Consider the following 15,713-nt stretch of genomic DNA (forward strand, 5'->3'; position numbering starts at 1 on the left):
TGTGCAGATAAGGGAACCTGCACAGGGGGCTTACCTGGGCATGCCCACGGCAGACTAGAGGCCCACATGCACTGGGGGAATGGTGTGGAGCCACCAGAAATTCGGGCCTAATGCAGAGGAGGAGCCTGGCCTCTTCAGCTGGTGTGTAGTGGCCCTGGTATTCAATTTGGGAGGTGGAAACCTGCTTGCAGGACCCCCTCTCTTTGCTGAGAGGTTTCTTTTCACTTAATACATTCCACCCTCCTCACCCTTCAATGTGTCTGCCTGCCTAATTCTTCCTGGTCATGAGACAAGAACCCAGATTAGCTGACCTAAGGAGCAAAAAAATCCTGCATCATTTTGGTGGCCTCTACGGGGACTTGTCAGAAGGGTGAGTAAAATGCAGACCCAAACATCTCTCTCACTTTTGTTTCTGAGCTTTCTTGTCCTCAGACTTTTTCTGAAGGCAGAGGAAACTGCCCCCTTCCCCACCCCATCATTCTCAGGCATTGGAAATGTCGGCCTCAGTCAAACCCAGTCTTTTCCATGGATTTTCCTTCATTTTTGGGGGAATGTATTGGCACCTATCTTTTCTTTTACAATATTAGGGGTGTTTCACCCTCACCCCAATGGTTGCAGGCATGTGCACAGGACAGACAGGTGAGCAGTGGCTCCCTGCCCCACTCCCCTCCTGTCTGGGGCACACAGCCTGGGCCTGGGGTGGCTAGCTGGCCAGTGTTCCCCACCAGGCACCCACGCAGTCTTCCCTTCCCCTGGCCAAGGGGTCCAGCTCAGTGGGAGTCCCAGGAAGGAGACAGCAATGAAAGGTTTCTCTCCCTGATGAAGAAACCCATTGCATAAGAATAAGAGGTTTCTCCCCCAGGAATCTTCCCAGGCTTGCACCTAAGCTTTTTTTTCTTCCTTTTCTCCACCCTGTAGGCAGTTAATGCAGCCTTGCAGATATAGGGAGCTTTTCTATGCAAGAGTTTTTTTTTTCATTTTGGAAGGCATCTTGTTAGGCCAGGACCCAAATTCACAAGACACCCTTTTTCTCTCCCTTGTTGGAGGAGAACCCAGCTCCTCAGCTTTACCTTAGCATTCAGCTTATGATAAGGAGGCAGCAGCCAGCTGCTGGCTGCAGTCTGTCAAGGTCTAAGGAACGCAAAGGTTATGACAACAGTGGAGACAGGGTGTATGTGGGTGAGTACGATATTCCCACCCTCTAGGCCCCTGTGTTAACGTGAGTGGAAGCTGCACTGACACCTATCGATAGCACCCTGTCAAGGTTGCCAGGACTTGAAGATACAAGGACAGAAGAAAGAAAAGAAACACCTCTTCTTTCTCTGCCTCATGTACCCCATATTTGCTGGGAAGACAAAGGAATTAGGGACACCTTATCCTGTCTTCCTAGCTGGGTAACCATTCATCTTTAGTCTGTACCTCTCTCAAATGCATCCTGAGGCAGGGGGGCTCCTTAGAGAAAATGCCTTCTTTTTCCTTTTTCCTCCTCTGTCCTCTCTTCACAGAGGGGTAATTGTGTCCCCCTACTACAGGATACTCCCCTCGGATGCATCCTCCAAACTGGGAAAAGTTAATTTCCCAGACCTTAAACTGCTTGGTCTAGAACTGAGCTGAGGGTGAGAGGTGACAGCGTGCTGGCAGCCCTCGCTTGCTCTTGGCACCTCCTTGGCCTTGGCGCCCACTCTGGCCACACTATAGGAGCTCTTCAGCCTGCTGCTGCACTGTGGGAGCCCCTCTCTGGGCTGGCCAAGGCTGAAGCCAGCTCCCTCTGCTTGTGGGGAGGTGTGGAGGGAGAGGTGCAAGCGGGAACTGGGGCTGCGCATGGCACTGGCAGCCCACCACAAGTTCTGGGTGGGCGTGGGCTCCGCGGGCCCTGCATTCGGAGCGGCCAGCTGGTGCCGCCGGCCCTGGGCAGTGAGGGACTTAGCACCCGGGCCAGCAGCTGCAGAGGGTGTGCTGGGTCCCCCAGCAGTGCCGGCCCACTGGCGCTGCGCTCAAATTCTCGCTGGGCCTCAGCTGCCTCCCTGCTGGGCAGAGCTCGGGACCTGCAGCCTGCCATGCCTGAGCCTCCCCACTGCCGTGGGCTCCTGTGCTGCCCGAGCCTCCCCGACGAGCGCTGCCCCCTGCTCTGCAGCACCCGGTCCTATCGACCACCCAACAGCTGATGAGTGTGGGCACACAGTGCAGGACTGATGGGCAGCTCTACCTGTGGCCCCAGTGCGGGATCCACTAGGTGAAGCCAGCTGGGCTCCTGAGTCTGGTGGGGACTTGGAGAACCTTTATGTCTAGCTAAAGGATTGTAAATACACCAATCAGCACTCTGTGTCTAGCTCAAGGTTTGTAAATGCACCAATCAGTGCTCTGGGTCTAGCTAATCTAGTGGGGACTTGGAGAACCTTTATGTCTAGCTAAAGGATTGTAAATACACCAATCAGCACTCTGTATCTAGCTCAAGGTTTGTAAACACACCAATCAGCACCCTGTGTCTAGCTCAAGGTTTGTAAATGCACCAATCATTGCTGTGTCTAGCTAATCTGATGCGGACTTGGAGAACTTTTGTGTCTATCTTGGGGATTGTAAATGCACCAATCAGCTCCCTGTAAAACAGACCAATCAGCTCTCTGTAAAATGGACCAATCAGCAGGATGTGGGTGGGGCCAGATAAGGGAATAAAAGCAGGCTGCCGGAGCCAACAGTGGCAACCCGCTTGGGTTCCCTACCCCAGTGTGGAAGCTTTGTTCTTTTGCTCTTTGCAATAAATCTTGCTGCTGCTCACTCTTTGGGTCTGCACTGCCTTTATGAGCTGTAACACTCACAGCGAAGGTCTGCATCTTCACTCCTGAGGCCAGTGAGACCACGAACTCACCTGGAGGAATGAACAACTCCGGACGGGAGGAACAAACAACTCCAGACGCGCCACCTGAAGAGCTGTAACACTCACCACGAAGGTCTGCAGCTTCACTCCTGAAGCCAGCGAGACCATGAACCCACCAGAAGGAAGAAACTCCAAACACATCCGAACATCAGAAGGAACAAACTCCGGACACACCATCTTTAAGAACTGTAACACTCACCACAAGGGTCCACAGCTTCATTCTTGAAGTCAATGAGACCAAGAACCCACCAATTCCAGATACAAGGGGAAGGGAATCCAGAAACCTGACGTGCCAGCAAAAGGGTAAAAGTTTCTTTTACCAGTTGGACTTTTGGCCTCTCCCTCCGTGTGCAAACCGGTAAAAGGAATGGTAAGGATCACTGTTTATATTCTCTGTAAAGTTTTGATTAATGAAAAAGGATTTATGAGTTTGGTCTTAAGCTGTAGCCAATCTGGTATGCTTTGCATGTCTTTCTGTATGGTTCTATCAGAAAGAGAGGTACTTTAGGACAGGATGTGGGTGTAGGACCCCATAAGTCCACTTTTCAAGTCAGCCCAGCAAACTGGTCAGTAACAAACTTTGCTGCAGGCTTGCATCTTGTTTACATCCTGGGGAGCATGACCTGTAACTACGTGGGAGTGCTTTGTTTTAGTCTGACATTTTACAATGGTGGCTCAGGTTCAATCCTGGCTTGGAGAATGGGTACTTTCTTTCTTTCTTTTTTTTTTTTTTTGAGATGGAGTCTCGCTCTGTCGCCCAGGCTGGAGTGCAGTGGCGCGATCTCAGCTCACTGCAAGCTCTGCTTCCCGGGTTTACGGAGAATGAGTACTTTCAAGTTAATAGCTGTGTGACTTCTACCATTTGCTGATTTTCTTCCCTTCCATGAACAACTTCTAGATTCTCTTCTTAAATCTTCCCTTCTCTGAGCTACCCTTAAAGATTCTAGATGTTGTAAAAACTGCTTACCTCCTGCTTTGAAAATACTTCGTACACTGGTAGTAAAGTCATAACCTTAATTGAGGCTTGTTGGTTTCACCTGTGAGGTTACTTTTGGTAAAGTTCAAAAGCCAGAAATATTGGCTGCTTGACATGGCTAAAGTCAGGTAATACGGGATTTAAAAGGACTTTCTTAAGGAGTGCTCAGCTTAATTAAAAGCAGATACCCAAGTATGTTTAAAGGACCTTTATGGTTTTTTTCCCTTCTTGAATCTTGTTTTTCTGGAAAAAGGTTTCTTCTCAGTTGATTGAATTATTTTTCTCCATTTTGTCTTGCCACTCTTAAGGCACACATGAGAGGCCCTAAAATAATTTCTGATGGCCTGTGACTCCTTGGCAAAAACAGAAAAGGCACCACAGATCCCATTTTGTGAGAAACCTGTTTTCCTCATGGAACCTCAGAAATTAGAGGCAGGTAGATCCCTCTCAAAATCTGTTTTTGTCTTCCAGCCATACCTGTTTGTTAGGCCCTAGAAAATACAAGCTTTCCTAGCCTTGCTCTTAAAGGGCTCCACCCAGAGGCCAATAATCCAATTAGATTGGCAAATGAAAAATCTTACAACTACTAGATTTTCTTCTGTCTGTCTACATAATCATATATGTGTTATGTGTGTTATGTTTATAAAGAAAAGAGCTCTAATTAATTGGTTTGAAGGAAAATAAGCACTTAAATGAAATATTTTTTTAAAAGAAAGACAAAAGCTGTAATACTTTTTAGTATTTAGTCTATCGTTCCTTCTCCAAAGAGGTAATTCTAACTGCCATTAGAATAGGGGCAAAGACGGATCTTAACTGCTTCCTGCTGACAGGGGGCACTATTTTGGGAAGATGGCAGTCAGATCTCCCCCAGAGGCCTAGCTAAGTGTCCCCAGTAAAAGGGAGCCATCGTCTGTGGTTCTGGTTGCATGACCGTTTGGAGTTCGATGGCCTACAGGGGAGAAGAGACTAACTTCTCTGATATAAAATCAGTCCTAACTCAACCACAATGGAAAAGTATATAAATGTTGACATCTGTAAATCATTTTCAGTGCTCCAGTCATATAACCAAGTTAGTAGTGTTCTACCTTACCAGAGGAGAACTGAAGAACTTTGAACTGTGAACTTTCCCAAGGAAAGGTAAGTCAAATTTCAAATTTAGTGTATAAAAACTGAGGAGAACTAGAGGGTAGTCAGTGTTAGGATAGCCAAGGGAGCAGCTGGAAAGGCACCCAACGCAGACTAGGACTTCATTTAAGGATTTAGGAGCCTCTAACCTCAAGAAGGAATAGAAAATACATGGAAAATGTAGCCTGGGGAAGAGAGTTCTAGGCAGCTACAGGGAGGTGGTAAGTTTGGGAATATAAGGTTTTCCTGCAGAGATCTGCAAAGATGATCTGACTGAAGTTGTAAATTAGACTTTGACCCCAGCCTCCCTGCCATCACCATGTCCTGGCCACAGACAATGGAGACAGCACAGGGCAGGATTAAGATTATGGGCTGTGGAGTTTGAGAGGTAGTAGGACTGAATTTTTGTCTGCCTCCAGAGCCATAGAGCAGCTCTCAATTTCTGTAAAATGGGAATGATGACATCTACTTCTCAGGGTTGAAGTTTAACTGTTCAGTTGTTATCATTACTAACCTATCCCCTGCTTTGTAGCCAGTGTGATCATTCTAAAATATAACTCTTGCTTCTCCCCCATTTAAAACTCAATGGTTCCCCATTGCACAGAACAAATACTCCAATTTCTTAACATGCCTTTCAAAGTTTTTTGGTGATCTGGTCCCTGCTTCCCTCTCCAGTTTCATGGATCATGGCCCTTCAGCCACATTAGATCATCTCACTTCCCCAACTCCCCATGCCTGCTCAGCTTTGCCTGGAACACACATCTCCTTACCCTTCCTCACCAAAAAAATGCCTCCTACTCTTCAGACTTCAGCTGGACAATCTTCAATAGGAAACCTTGTATTTAATGAATGTGTATATTCAATATGTATATATGAGTATATATATAGAGAGTACACATATGTACATAGAGACATTATCAGTTCATGTGAATTTATCTGTATGATACTCTACACTACCTTAGAATGTAAACTTCAAAATTGTTTTAATATATTCTGTATATCAACACAGTGTGCCTAGATAATTAACATTAAACAATAATGCCAACCAATTTACTGTTTCTTGGGAGCAATTTTTATAAATATGGTAGTTGTTTTAGGGTCTATTGGGAAATAACTTTGTTATATACACTTTTCATTAAATAGTTCATAGTTTAATATAAAATATACCCAATCATAAACGAGCATCAGACTAAGGATAACCATCTTGCTACAAATCATGGTAGAGTCAGACAAGTTTTTCTAACTTAGAGTCAACAGTAGGCAATGCTAAAAATAAGATCACAGGGGAAGGATGCAAAAGAATTGCTGGTAAGTATTCCTTTTTGTGTTTCAACTGTTTTCAACAGTGCGACAACTGAAACTTAGGATTGCAACCAGAGGGGCTCCTCTTACCTCTGCATCAAAGCGCGGATCCTGGTAGGCATCACTGATGTTCACTGGAAGGCCTGTTGAAGCAACCAGCTCAGCAATGCTGTTATTTATTAGCCAGTCGGAGTATGATGATTTCTCCATGCTTTCTTTGAAACTATCAGAGCACCAAGGTAGGCAGGAAGAAAAGAGAGAAACGTAAGTTTTCTTGAAAGGAAACCCTATAAACTACACTAATATCAGGATAATCTGTCCTTATTAAGAAAAAATAAGTGACATTAGTCACAGAACAATAGCAAGGTAATTATCAGTAGCTACTTCGAAATGACTTACCTGCTATAATGTATAATAATTAAATCCATGGGCAGAAACCATAGATTCCCTATGATTCAGAGAGACTCTAGGCTGTATTTAGGTCCCAAAGCTGGCAAACACATGTAAGGACCAAAATTAACAATAAGACACCAACAACTAATAAAATTCCATCAACTTCCCAGCTTGCCCTTTTTAATTGAACAGACTAGATGTTTTGGCACAAGGAAGAATGAAACCCAAGTAGGGAAAAATCAGGAAGTAAATTGGGAATTTAAAAAATTACAAATGCAGCAAAAGAATGTATCTAGACTATGGTCTTTTAATTAGTAATTATTTGAAAAACAATTTTACTATCTTAGTCATTATTTTGATAACATTAATATTTTAATAACTTTTAGTATCTTAGTTAACTATTTTGGTAATTTTAGATTATGTTTCTTAACAATAGCCCATATACCACTTACAAAATCTCACTTAAAAGGCTATTTAATGCAACAGACCCTTAACATTAATAATTAAAACTATTTTCATATTTAATTTGAACAAGGAATTTTATGCCAAATGATTTTTTGAACTTTCCCTTGTATCATTTTCATGACAGACACTACATAAACAGAAATGCTGTAAGAATTAGTTAATATCCCTCATTCTTCTCCTTTCCATCTTTTCTTCCACAAGTATATATTGAGCACTGCCAGGAGCCGTGGAGATACAAAATTGAGAACTGTTCAAATTAGTATTGGCAAGGAAAATTTTCCTGGAGGATGTCTGATTTGTCGCTTGGCAAGTGATAACTGAAATTATGTGGATGGATGCAAGCATACTAGGGCAAGGTTTTCAAGCTGCCTTATGTGGAACCCTGGATTTCATGAGATGTTAAATGAGTATACTACAGCAAGAATAATCATCACTCTATTGACTTTTTAATCTAAACTGCACTATATGTAAGAAAACACTAAATGTGCACATCGTCTTTGTTATTATGCAATAATGTCCCTGTGTAAAATTATGCCATGTTGAGAAGGCAGGAAACTGCATGGAAAGGCCATTGGATGCATGAGTGAGTGGGACACATAGACATTATTTAACATCATTAATATATCTCATCTGTAATGATTGCTGGCCTGTGTCTGATAAATTCAGCATGTATTTGTAATGTTATTCATCCCTTATTGCATATTAAACATTAATAATACATAAACTTTATTCTCTATGGCTCTCTGGCTGAAAAATGGAAGTTTTAATAAAAAGCTGAGTCTTGTAGTTCTTAGATGGCACCTAAATCAAAGAAGTAAAAAGACTGAGTACTTCAAAGAGAAGAAGAAGCTTTATTTTCTAAAACAAATCAAAACAAAAGAACAAAAAAGTTTTTATTTTCTTTTTGCTGTTTTATATGCATCTCATTTCATGAGATGAAATTTTATGTTGTGCTGCAATGAAAGCAAAATCTAGGAGAAACAAGATAATGCACCTCACACAAAGATCTAAATGACTTAGTGAAGTCATTTCTAAGTTTATAAAAGGGTATGGGCTAAATTCTGACCTTTCAGGGATTAATTGGCTTGCCAGTTCATTCTGCACTGTGTACTTTATTCCACATTTTAATTTTTGAGGTGTTCTGTGATCACACCGTTTCGAAGCTGCTGACCTAGAGTGTTCTGTGGAGTGTGGGAAGCAGCGCTGCAGCAGGAGCTGGGGAGAGGTCTGGGCACAGAAGTAAAACGGTTGGGTAGGGTGGGGCTCAAGGAAGGAGCCAGTTTTACCAATAAGTGTCAACAATCTTCAAGCTGGGTCTTTCAGGATGAGAAAGAGTTCAACAAGGAGAGATTGGAGGAGTTAGAAGGAAACAGCAGGAACAAAAGACACAAATGCAGCAGAGTACGAAGTGTGTTCTTGGCACAATGAGTAATTGTATGGTGGGAATAAAACTGAAAAAGAGGCCAAGGCTCAAAGGTGAGGCCTTGACCAAGTTGCTGAGACCTTAGTTATAGGCAATGGAGAACTGTTTAAGAATATGGAGCAGGGAAGTGACGTGGTTTAAGATGTGATTTTAGAAAGCTTAATCCAGGTACAATGAGCAAGAAGAACTGGGTAAGAGACACTGAGGATGGGAAGAGGTCTTGTAAACCACAGAAGTCATGCAGGTGGGAGGTGATGGTGCTGGTGACTCAAGAGGTACTGCAGAAGATTCCACAGGCTCTGTGGCCAGATAGCAGTGGCTTACATTTTGTTCCCGACTGCCTGTGGCCCTATTAGCAGAACACAGTTGTTTTAAGGAGTGGGGAGATAGGGGAAAGATGACAGATATTCTGTAAGCCTGGGACATGTTCATTTTTGAAAGTCCAGGAACAAAATCCTATCAGTCCTCAGGACTGAAAACTCTAATCCAGAGTTAGGATAATTTTCACGGAGAATAAAATGCATGAGATCACTCAGGGACAGAACACGTAGGGAAATCTATATCTAGGGAAGGGAAGGAGGAGAAAAGTGGTAATAAAGGGGGAAGGGAGAAAGAGAAGAAATTTTAAGGAAGAAAAACTGAAATTTATTGCCATCTACTGTGGGCCAAGGGTCAGGCCAGATACTTTACCCAACTAATTTGTTTTGTCCTCAGATAAATCCTGTGAGATGGATATGCTTCTCTATATTTTATAGATCAGAAAATGGAGACCTAGGATGCTCAATAACTTTCCCAAGTGGAGATAGAATTTTCACCTAAATCTGACCCCAACATCCTAAATTATAGTATTTTTCCTGTTGCCTTTCAGAAGGAGTTAATGGATAGCGTTATAGCAAGAATAGTGGGTTGTCACCTAAGAACAAATAGGGAGGGGCAGTCCACATCAGAGAGAGTTTAAGGAAGCTGCTAAAGATAATAAACACTTCACTGTGAGACTTTAGTCACAGGAACAGGGAGGAAAAACCATTGGAGTTGATAATTAAGAGCTTTAGGTCCCTACTTACAGAATTCCCAAAGAAGATACGATGACAAAAACACTTACTGAGCAGGGGCTCCTGAAAAACTCACTCTAAATCTAAAACATGCTTAGAATGTGGCTTGGTTCAGTATGCATACTGAATTGAAATCATTGTAAAATCAGTGAACAGTGTAGAAGGAATATTGACTCTGTGCAAGGCAGGGTTGAGGCCGTTTCTAAAGTATAAGCTATGATCTCTGCTCTCAGGGAGTTTGCTACTTAACTGGGGAGATGAGAAATAAACACACTGACATATAAACAATATAAAAATTAAATGCCCACTTCAAATTTCAAATGAAAAATTTTTCACATAGATGTGTTGATAAGTTACCAAGTCAACTGTACCAATCACGAGTGCTGAAGACGTCCATGGAGGGAGAAATGACTTCAGGTGTTGTAATCTAGCTAAGGCTTCAGAGAGGAGGTGAGATTCAAACTGACCTATATAGGTCAGTGCAACAGTGCAAACAGATTTTCTGAAAATCACCTCTGCATTTCTTCAGTTTAATGTTGCACAGGAACATAAATTAAGGCCTGAGTGATCAGATCCTCAGAGAGACAGATAGGAAAGTTGATTTGTCACTTGGTATTTACATCACTGTCTTAGTCCATTCAGGCTGCTAGAGCAAAATACCATAAGTTGGGTGACTTATAAACAACAAATATTTATTTATCACAGTTTTGAGACTAGGAAGACCAAGATCAAGGCACTGGCAGATTCAGTATCTAGTGCCTTCTTGCTTTAGTTCAGTGTCTAGTGCCTTCTTGTCCTCACATGGTAGAAAGAATGAGGGATCTCTCTGGGGCCTCTTTTATAAAGGCACTGATTCCATTCATAAGAGCTCCACCCCCATGACCTAATCACCTCCTAAAGGCCCACCCCTTCATACCCTCACATTAGGGACTGGGTTTCAACGTATGAATTTTTGGGCAGACACAAACATTCAGACCAGAGTAATCACATTCTGGCTTACGCACCAGCTCAATTTTGGAATTCCTTTTTTTTTTTTAATTAATTAATTAATTTATTTATTTTTTATTGATAATTCTTGGGTGTTTCTCACAGAGGGGGATTTGGCTGGGTCATAGGACAATAGTGGAGGGAAGGTCAGCAGATAAACAAGTGAACAAAGGTCTCTGGTTTTCCTAGGCAGAGGACCCTGCGGCCTTCCGCAGTATTTGTGTCCCTGGGTACTTGAGATTAGGGAGTGGTGATGACTCTTAACGAGCATGCTGCCTTCAAGCATCTGTTTAACAAAGCACATCTTGCACCGCCCTTAATCCATTTAACCCTGAGTGGACACAGCACATGTTTCAGAGAGCACAGGGTTGGGGGCAAGGTCACAGATCAACAGGATCCCAAGGCAGAAGAAGTTTTCTTAGTACAGAACAAAATGAAAAGTCTCCCATGTCTACTTCTTTCTACACAGACACGGCAACCATCCGATTTCTCAATCTTTTCCCCACCTTTCCCGCCTTTCTATTCCACAAAGCCGCCATTGTCATCCTGGCCCGTTCTCAATGAGCTGTTGGGCACACCTCCCAGACGGGGTGGTGGCCGGGCAGAGGGGCTCCTCACTTCCCAGTAGGGGCAGCCGGGCAGAGGCGCTCCTCACCTCCCGGACGGGGCGGCTGGCCGGGCGGGGGGCTGACCCCCCCCACCTCCCTCCCGGACGGGGTGGCTGCCGGGCGGAGACGCTCCTCACTTCCCAGATGGGGTGGCTGCCGGGCGGAGGGGCTCCTCACTTCTCAGACGGGGCGGTTGCCAGGCAGAGGGTCTCCTCACTTCTCAGACGGGGCGGCCGGGCAGAGTCGCTCCTCACCTCCCAGATGGGGTCTCGGCCGGGCAGAGGCGCTCCTCACATCCCAGACGGGGCAGCGGGGCAGAGGCGCTCCCCACATCTCAGACGATGGGCGGCCGGGCAGAGACGCTCCTCACTTCCTAGATGTGATGGCGGCCGGGAAGAGGTGCTCCTCACTTCCTAGATGGGATGGCGGCCGGGCGGAGACGCTCCTCACTTTCCAGACTGGGCAGCCAGGCAGAGGGGCTCCTCACATCTCAGACGATGGGTGGCTGGGCAGAGACGCTCCTCACTTCCCAGACGGGGTGGCGGCCGGGCAGAGGCTGCAATCTCGGCACTTTGGGAGGCCAAGGCAGGCAGCTGGGAGGTGGAGGTTGTAGCAAGCCGAGATCAAGCCACTGCACTCCAGCCTGGGCACCATTGAGCACTGAGTGAACGAGACTCCGTCTGCAATCCCGGCACCTCGGGAGGCCGAGGCTGGTGGATCACTTGCGGTTAGGGGCTGGAGACCGGCCTGGCCAACACAGCGAAACCCCGTCTCCACCAAAACCAGTCAGGCGTGGCGGCGCGTGCCTGCAATCGCAGGCACTCGGCAGGCTGAGGCAGGAGAATCAGACAGGGAGGTTGCAGTGAGCTGAGATGGCAGCAGTACAGTCCAGCTTCGGCTCGGCATGAGAGGGAGACCGTGGAAAGAGAGGGAGGGGGAGACCGTGGGGAGAGGGAGAGGGAGAGGGAGAGGGAGAGGGAGAGGCTGGAATTCCTAATGGTCTACTATAATGCAGAATCGTAACACTGAGTTAGAGCTTTCAAAAGCTTGCTTCTCTTCTTTACAAACAAAAGGTAATTTTATGTTATGATTAGGATCATGAGTTTTGGCATACCTCAATCAAATGTCCCCTTTGCTGATTTCTAGCAAAGTGATCTTAGGAAAACTTCCTTGGTAAAATGGGTATAATACTACTACTGTAGAGATTAAGGTGATAATTCATGCAAAGTGCTCAGCATATTATTTAGCCCATAGCAAACATTTTCTAAAAGCATCACAACTTTTAAAGCAAATTCTGCACATGACAGTACCCCTTTATACATTTCAGTGATGTGGTGTTGTGAGTTTAATCACAAAGGAAAGGGCCCAAATTATTTCTGCTTTTGGAAGGACACATCTAACTTTTAGGGTAAGCTCTTTCAAAAAGTTCCTACAGCTCATCACCTCCCCCTGATTTATGAGGGAACTTTTATTCAGTATGGTTTTCTCTTTTGCAATTGGTTGCTGTTGGGACAGAACATGGTAAGATCACAGACACAGCCACGTTTAGTTGTGCAGGTTCTGCCTTGCACACGGATGCCCTATAAAAGGGAGAAGTGGGGGTGGAAATTAGTCTAACTGTGCTTGTTTGCTTGAAGTTGCATCCACCTGGAGAGGGCACCTTTTCCTAATTCTCACAGAGACATTTGTATGGGCTTTCAATGGCCCTCCTTCAAGCTTTTCTTCAACACATCTGAAAATTGGGCATGTAATCTCAAATGGAGCACCATCAGTGACAGGAAACTCACTACCTATCATATATTACATTATATTTTGTGGCAGCTCAGTTTACTTTCTAATAGTCATCATCCTTGGTTCCAAGTTCCATGGTTTGTGGCCACAGAGCATGGACCTCATTATCTGACAGCCCTCAAAATATTTAGCAATAGTTAACATGTCACCCATGATCATCCACCTAACATCATTCTTCTCCCACCTGTCTCCAATTCCTTAAGTTACTCCTCTTGTGGCATGCCTTCCTTATTCGTACCATGCCAGCCCTAGATGTAACCCCCCTTGTTAATAGTCCTTTGGAGTATGAAAGCCAGTCCAGTCCACAGTTCTCTCCATGGGGTCTGAGTAGGATGAAGTGGGTATGACCACCTCCTTCATTCTAGAACCTATTTCTAGCAACAAACATCAGGAGTGATAGTTCCCAATAGGTCTTATTTTTGATAAGTTTTTGGAAGTTTAAATTAATATTAACCAACTTTCTTGAGTCTAAATTAACCAACTTTCTTGAGTCTAAAAACTCCCACCAGAGATATCAAAGGCCAACAAATCCAATACTAAGATTTTCAGTTTGGGCCAGAACCAAGATAGAGACTCACTGCTGTTTGGAAACACAACTACACCTTGATTACAACCAGGCCTCCAAAGCTTATGGGTGCAAATCAGTTCATGTCAACTCAGTGGTTCTTAGCTGCCATGTATATAATTGTAAGACGACAGACACCTCCAAGTCCTTCCCTGACCTCCAACCTTTGGGGATACTTATTCTTTCATTCAAGGCCCGTTGTTAAAGCCTACTGCTTAGAAATCACTTGAGGGAGCCTGACCCGTAGCTCCCAGACTGCCAAAGCTTCATAGAAGAAGGGAAGAATACTGTCTGCCAAGCTCTATGCAGCATGTTGGTGCCTGAGCCCTAATGCCATATTGCTTGTGCCCACGTTGTCACTAGTTTCCTATTTAAACAGCTCCTTTTGCCTTTGCCCATACCCCTCTCTGTAGACATAGAGGGCAGGGCTGGGATGCCCATTCACATTAGACGAGTACTCATGTACCAACTCATTCTTTCAGCAAAAAGACAAAGACCCTTATCAATCTCCTCATGCAAGTGAATGTCTAGTGTGAATGGTGTGTTTGTGTGTGTGTGTGTGTGTGTAGCCAACACATTAACTGTACACTGGTGCATAACAAGAAAAAATGGCATAGAATTCTTAGCAACATTTATTTGTTGTTGAAGACTAATGGTTGATTGAGAAACCATTCAAATGTTTCTAAAGTTTTTTTTTAAAGCAAGTCATTTGTCCATGTTTAATTTCACTTGTCCATATTTAATAGCTTCATACATTTAAGTCACAACACTATTTTGATCCCTACAGTGGGGATATTTTAAAAAATTCTGGCTTAAAGGAAAAAAACAGCAGACAGTAAAAATATATTGATATAAATGTTTGAGAAAAGTAAAAGAAACATAGTTGACACCTGAACTTCAGTGAAACTTCCTTAAAAGGTCATAGTTAACCACTTAATAGCTTATTTTAACTCTCTACAAAGTAGACCTCCCTAAGCTCGATTCACTTCAGCATAACACTCTAATTGTAAAGAAATCCTTTATCTTGTTATTTTGCTAGAAAAAGGGGTATAAGAAAATGTAGGTTTTTAAGTGAGTTTCACGTAAAGGGCTGTAGTTTAGATTCTTCTCAGTGGTATCTTGCTTCCAAATGTGAGACTCAAACTGACTTCAAAGAGAGCTTCATGAGCTCAAATATATTGACTGTGGAGGGATAAAAGAGAATTGCCCTATTACAGAAAACACGTAATTCCTGAAATGTGGCTGCCCCTGAAGTGAGGGCCGGTGAGGTATATATAAACCTCAGGGCTGACAAGTTGCAGAGTCGTGTAGGAGGTAAATCAATACGAGCAAAGAAAAACAAGACAAAATAAAATACCCCAGAACAAGTGACTCAACATCTTTAATTGTCTGAAAGTCCTGGCTTAGCTGAAGGTTCAAATACAGAGAACTGTGTGAAAATAAAAAGACTATCTTCAGCATTACTTTTCCAAAAAAAAGAGTCTCCACATTAGAAGACAAAACATCTTAATAAAATAATGCTAATCATTAGACTGTGCTTGTGTTCATGTTTCTCTTCTCAACATAACAGTTTACTTAGATGTCTTCATTAGAAACTCTCAAGAGTCTTTCAAGAATGACAACTAGTTTGGCCTCTACTAAGTGCTGGACAGGAGTGAGCCAAATCTTGCATTAAGCGAACAATAAGGATCTTTTCCTTGTTGTTGAAAGAAGCTGGCACATGGAAACCCATCCTTACACGGATGTCAGCCCAGCCTAGCCCCTACTTATACAGAAAGGGGTATGGGCAGAAGCCAAAGGGGTATACTCTCAGGGAGCTCACAATAGTGATACTGAATTGTGATAAATGGCCTAATGGAAGGATGTGGAAGGATGTTGGTCTAAGCTGGTCTTTAGAGGATAAGTAAGAGTTCACCTGGAAGAGAAAGAAGATAAAAACAATTCAGTCAAAACTATAGCATGAGTAAAGCTTTAAAAAGTGTGGGGTTTTCTCCATCGTCTCAGCCCAAAATCTCCTTAAGCTGATAAGCAACTTCAGCAAAGTCTCAGGATACAAAATCAATGTGCAAAAATCACAAGCATTCTTATACACCAATAACAGACAAACAGAGAGCCAAATCATGAGTGAACTCCCATTCACAATTGCTTCAA

At 43.8% G+C, this 15,713-nt stretch overlaps 1 protein-coding gene and 1 long non-coding RNA gene across 6 annotated transcripts in view, besides 2 other annotated features; one reads left to right on the forward strand and one right to left on the reverse strand.

The window, feature by feature from the left end:
* Nucleotides 1–15,713, reverse strand: part of PDE11A (phosphodiesterase 11A) — a 485,096-nt gene that overhangs the window by 210,639 nt on the left and 258,744 nt on the right. For all 4 annotated transcript variants that reach the window (NM_001077197.2, NM_016953.4, NM_001077358.2 and 1 more), the window contains one exon: nt 6,369–6,501. In NM_001077197.2, the coding sequence (NP_001070665.1) occupies nt 6,369–6,501 (133 nt within the window). The remainder of the gene's footprint in view (nt 1–6,368; nt 6,502–15,713) is intronic.
* Nucleotides 1,460–1,629: an enhancer, noted in NCBI's record as "experimental_56479 CRE fragment used in MPRA reporter constructs". NCBI's record gives its function as "activates a minimal promoter by MPRAs in K562 erythroleukemia cells, with activity observed for both the introgressed and non-introgressed 2:178700154 variant alleles {active_cell/tissue: K562}" and the evidence as "EXISTENCE:reporter gene assay evidence [ECO:0000049][PMID:34662402]".
* LOC124906099 (uncharacterized) lies at nt 2,698–7,860 on the forward strand. 2 transcript variants are annotated; one of them, XR_007087315.1, is made up of 3 exons: nt 2,698–3,245; nt 6,323–6,517; nt 7,338–7,860. It is a non-coding gene; the product is annotated as an uncharacterized LOC124906099 (long non-coding RNA). The 2 variants fall into 2 exon arrangements; XR_007087316.1 differs by lacking the exon at nt 7,338–7,860 and adding an exon at nt 4,901–4,988 and having other exon boundaries at nt 3,062–3,245; nt 6,323–6,403.
* Nucleotides 10,651–11,385: an enhancer, noted in NCBI's record as "NANOG-H3K27ac hESC enhancer chr2:178709260-178709994 (GRCh37/hg19 assembly coordinates)". NCBI's record gives its function as "activates a minimal SCP1, AML or CMV promoter by ChIP-STARR-seq in naive H9 embryonic stem cells {active_cell/tissue: H9 hESC(naive)}" and the evidence as "EXISTENCE:reporter gene assay evidence [ECO:0000049][PMID:30033119]".

The sequence above is a fragment of the Homo sapiens genome, chromosome 2, assembly GCF_000001405.40.
Source record: "Homo sapiens chromosome 2, GRCh38.p14 Primary Assembly".
Lineage (NCBI taxonomy): Eukaryota > Metazoa > Chordata > Mammalia > Primates > Hominidae > Homo > Homo sapiens.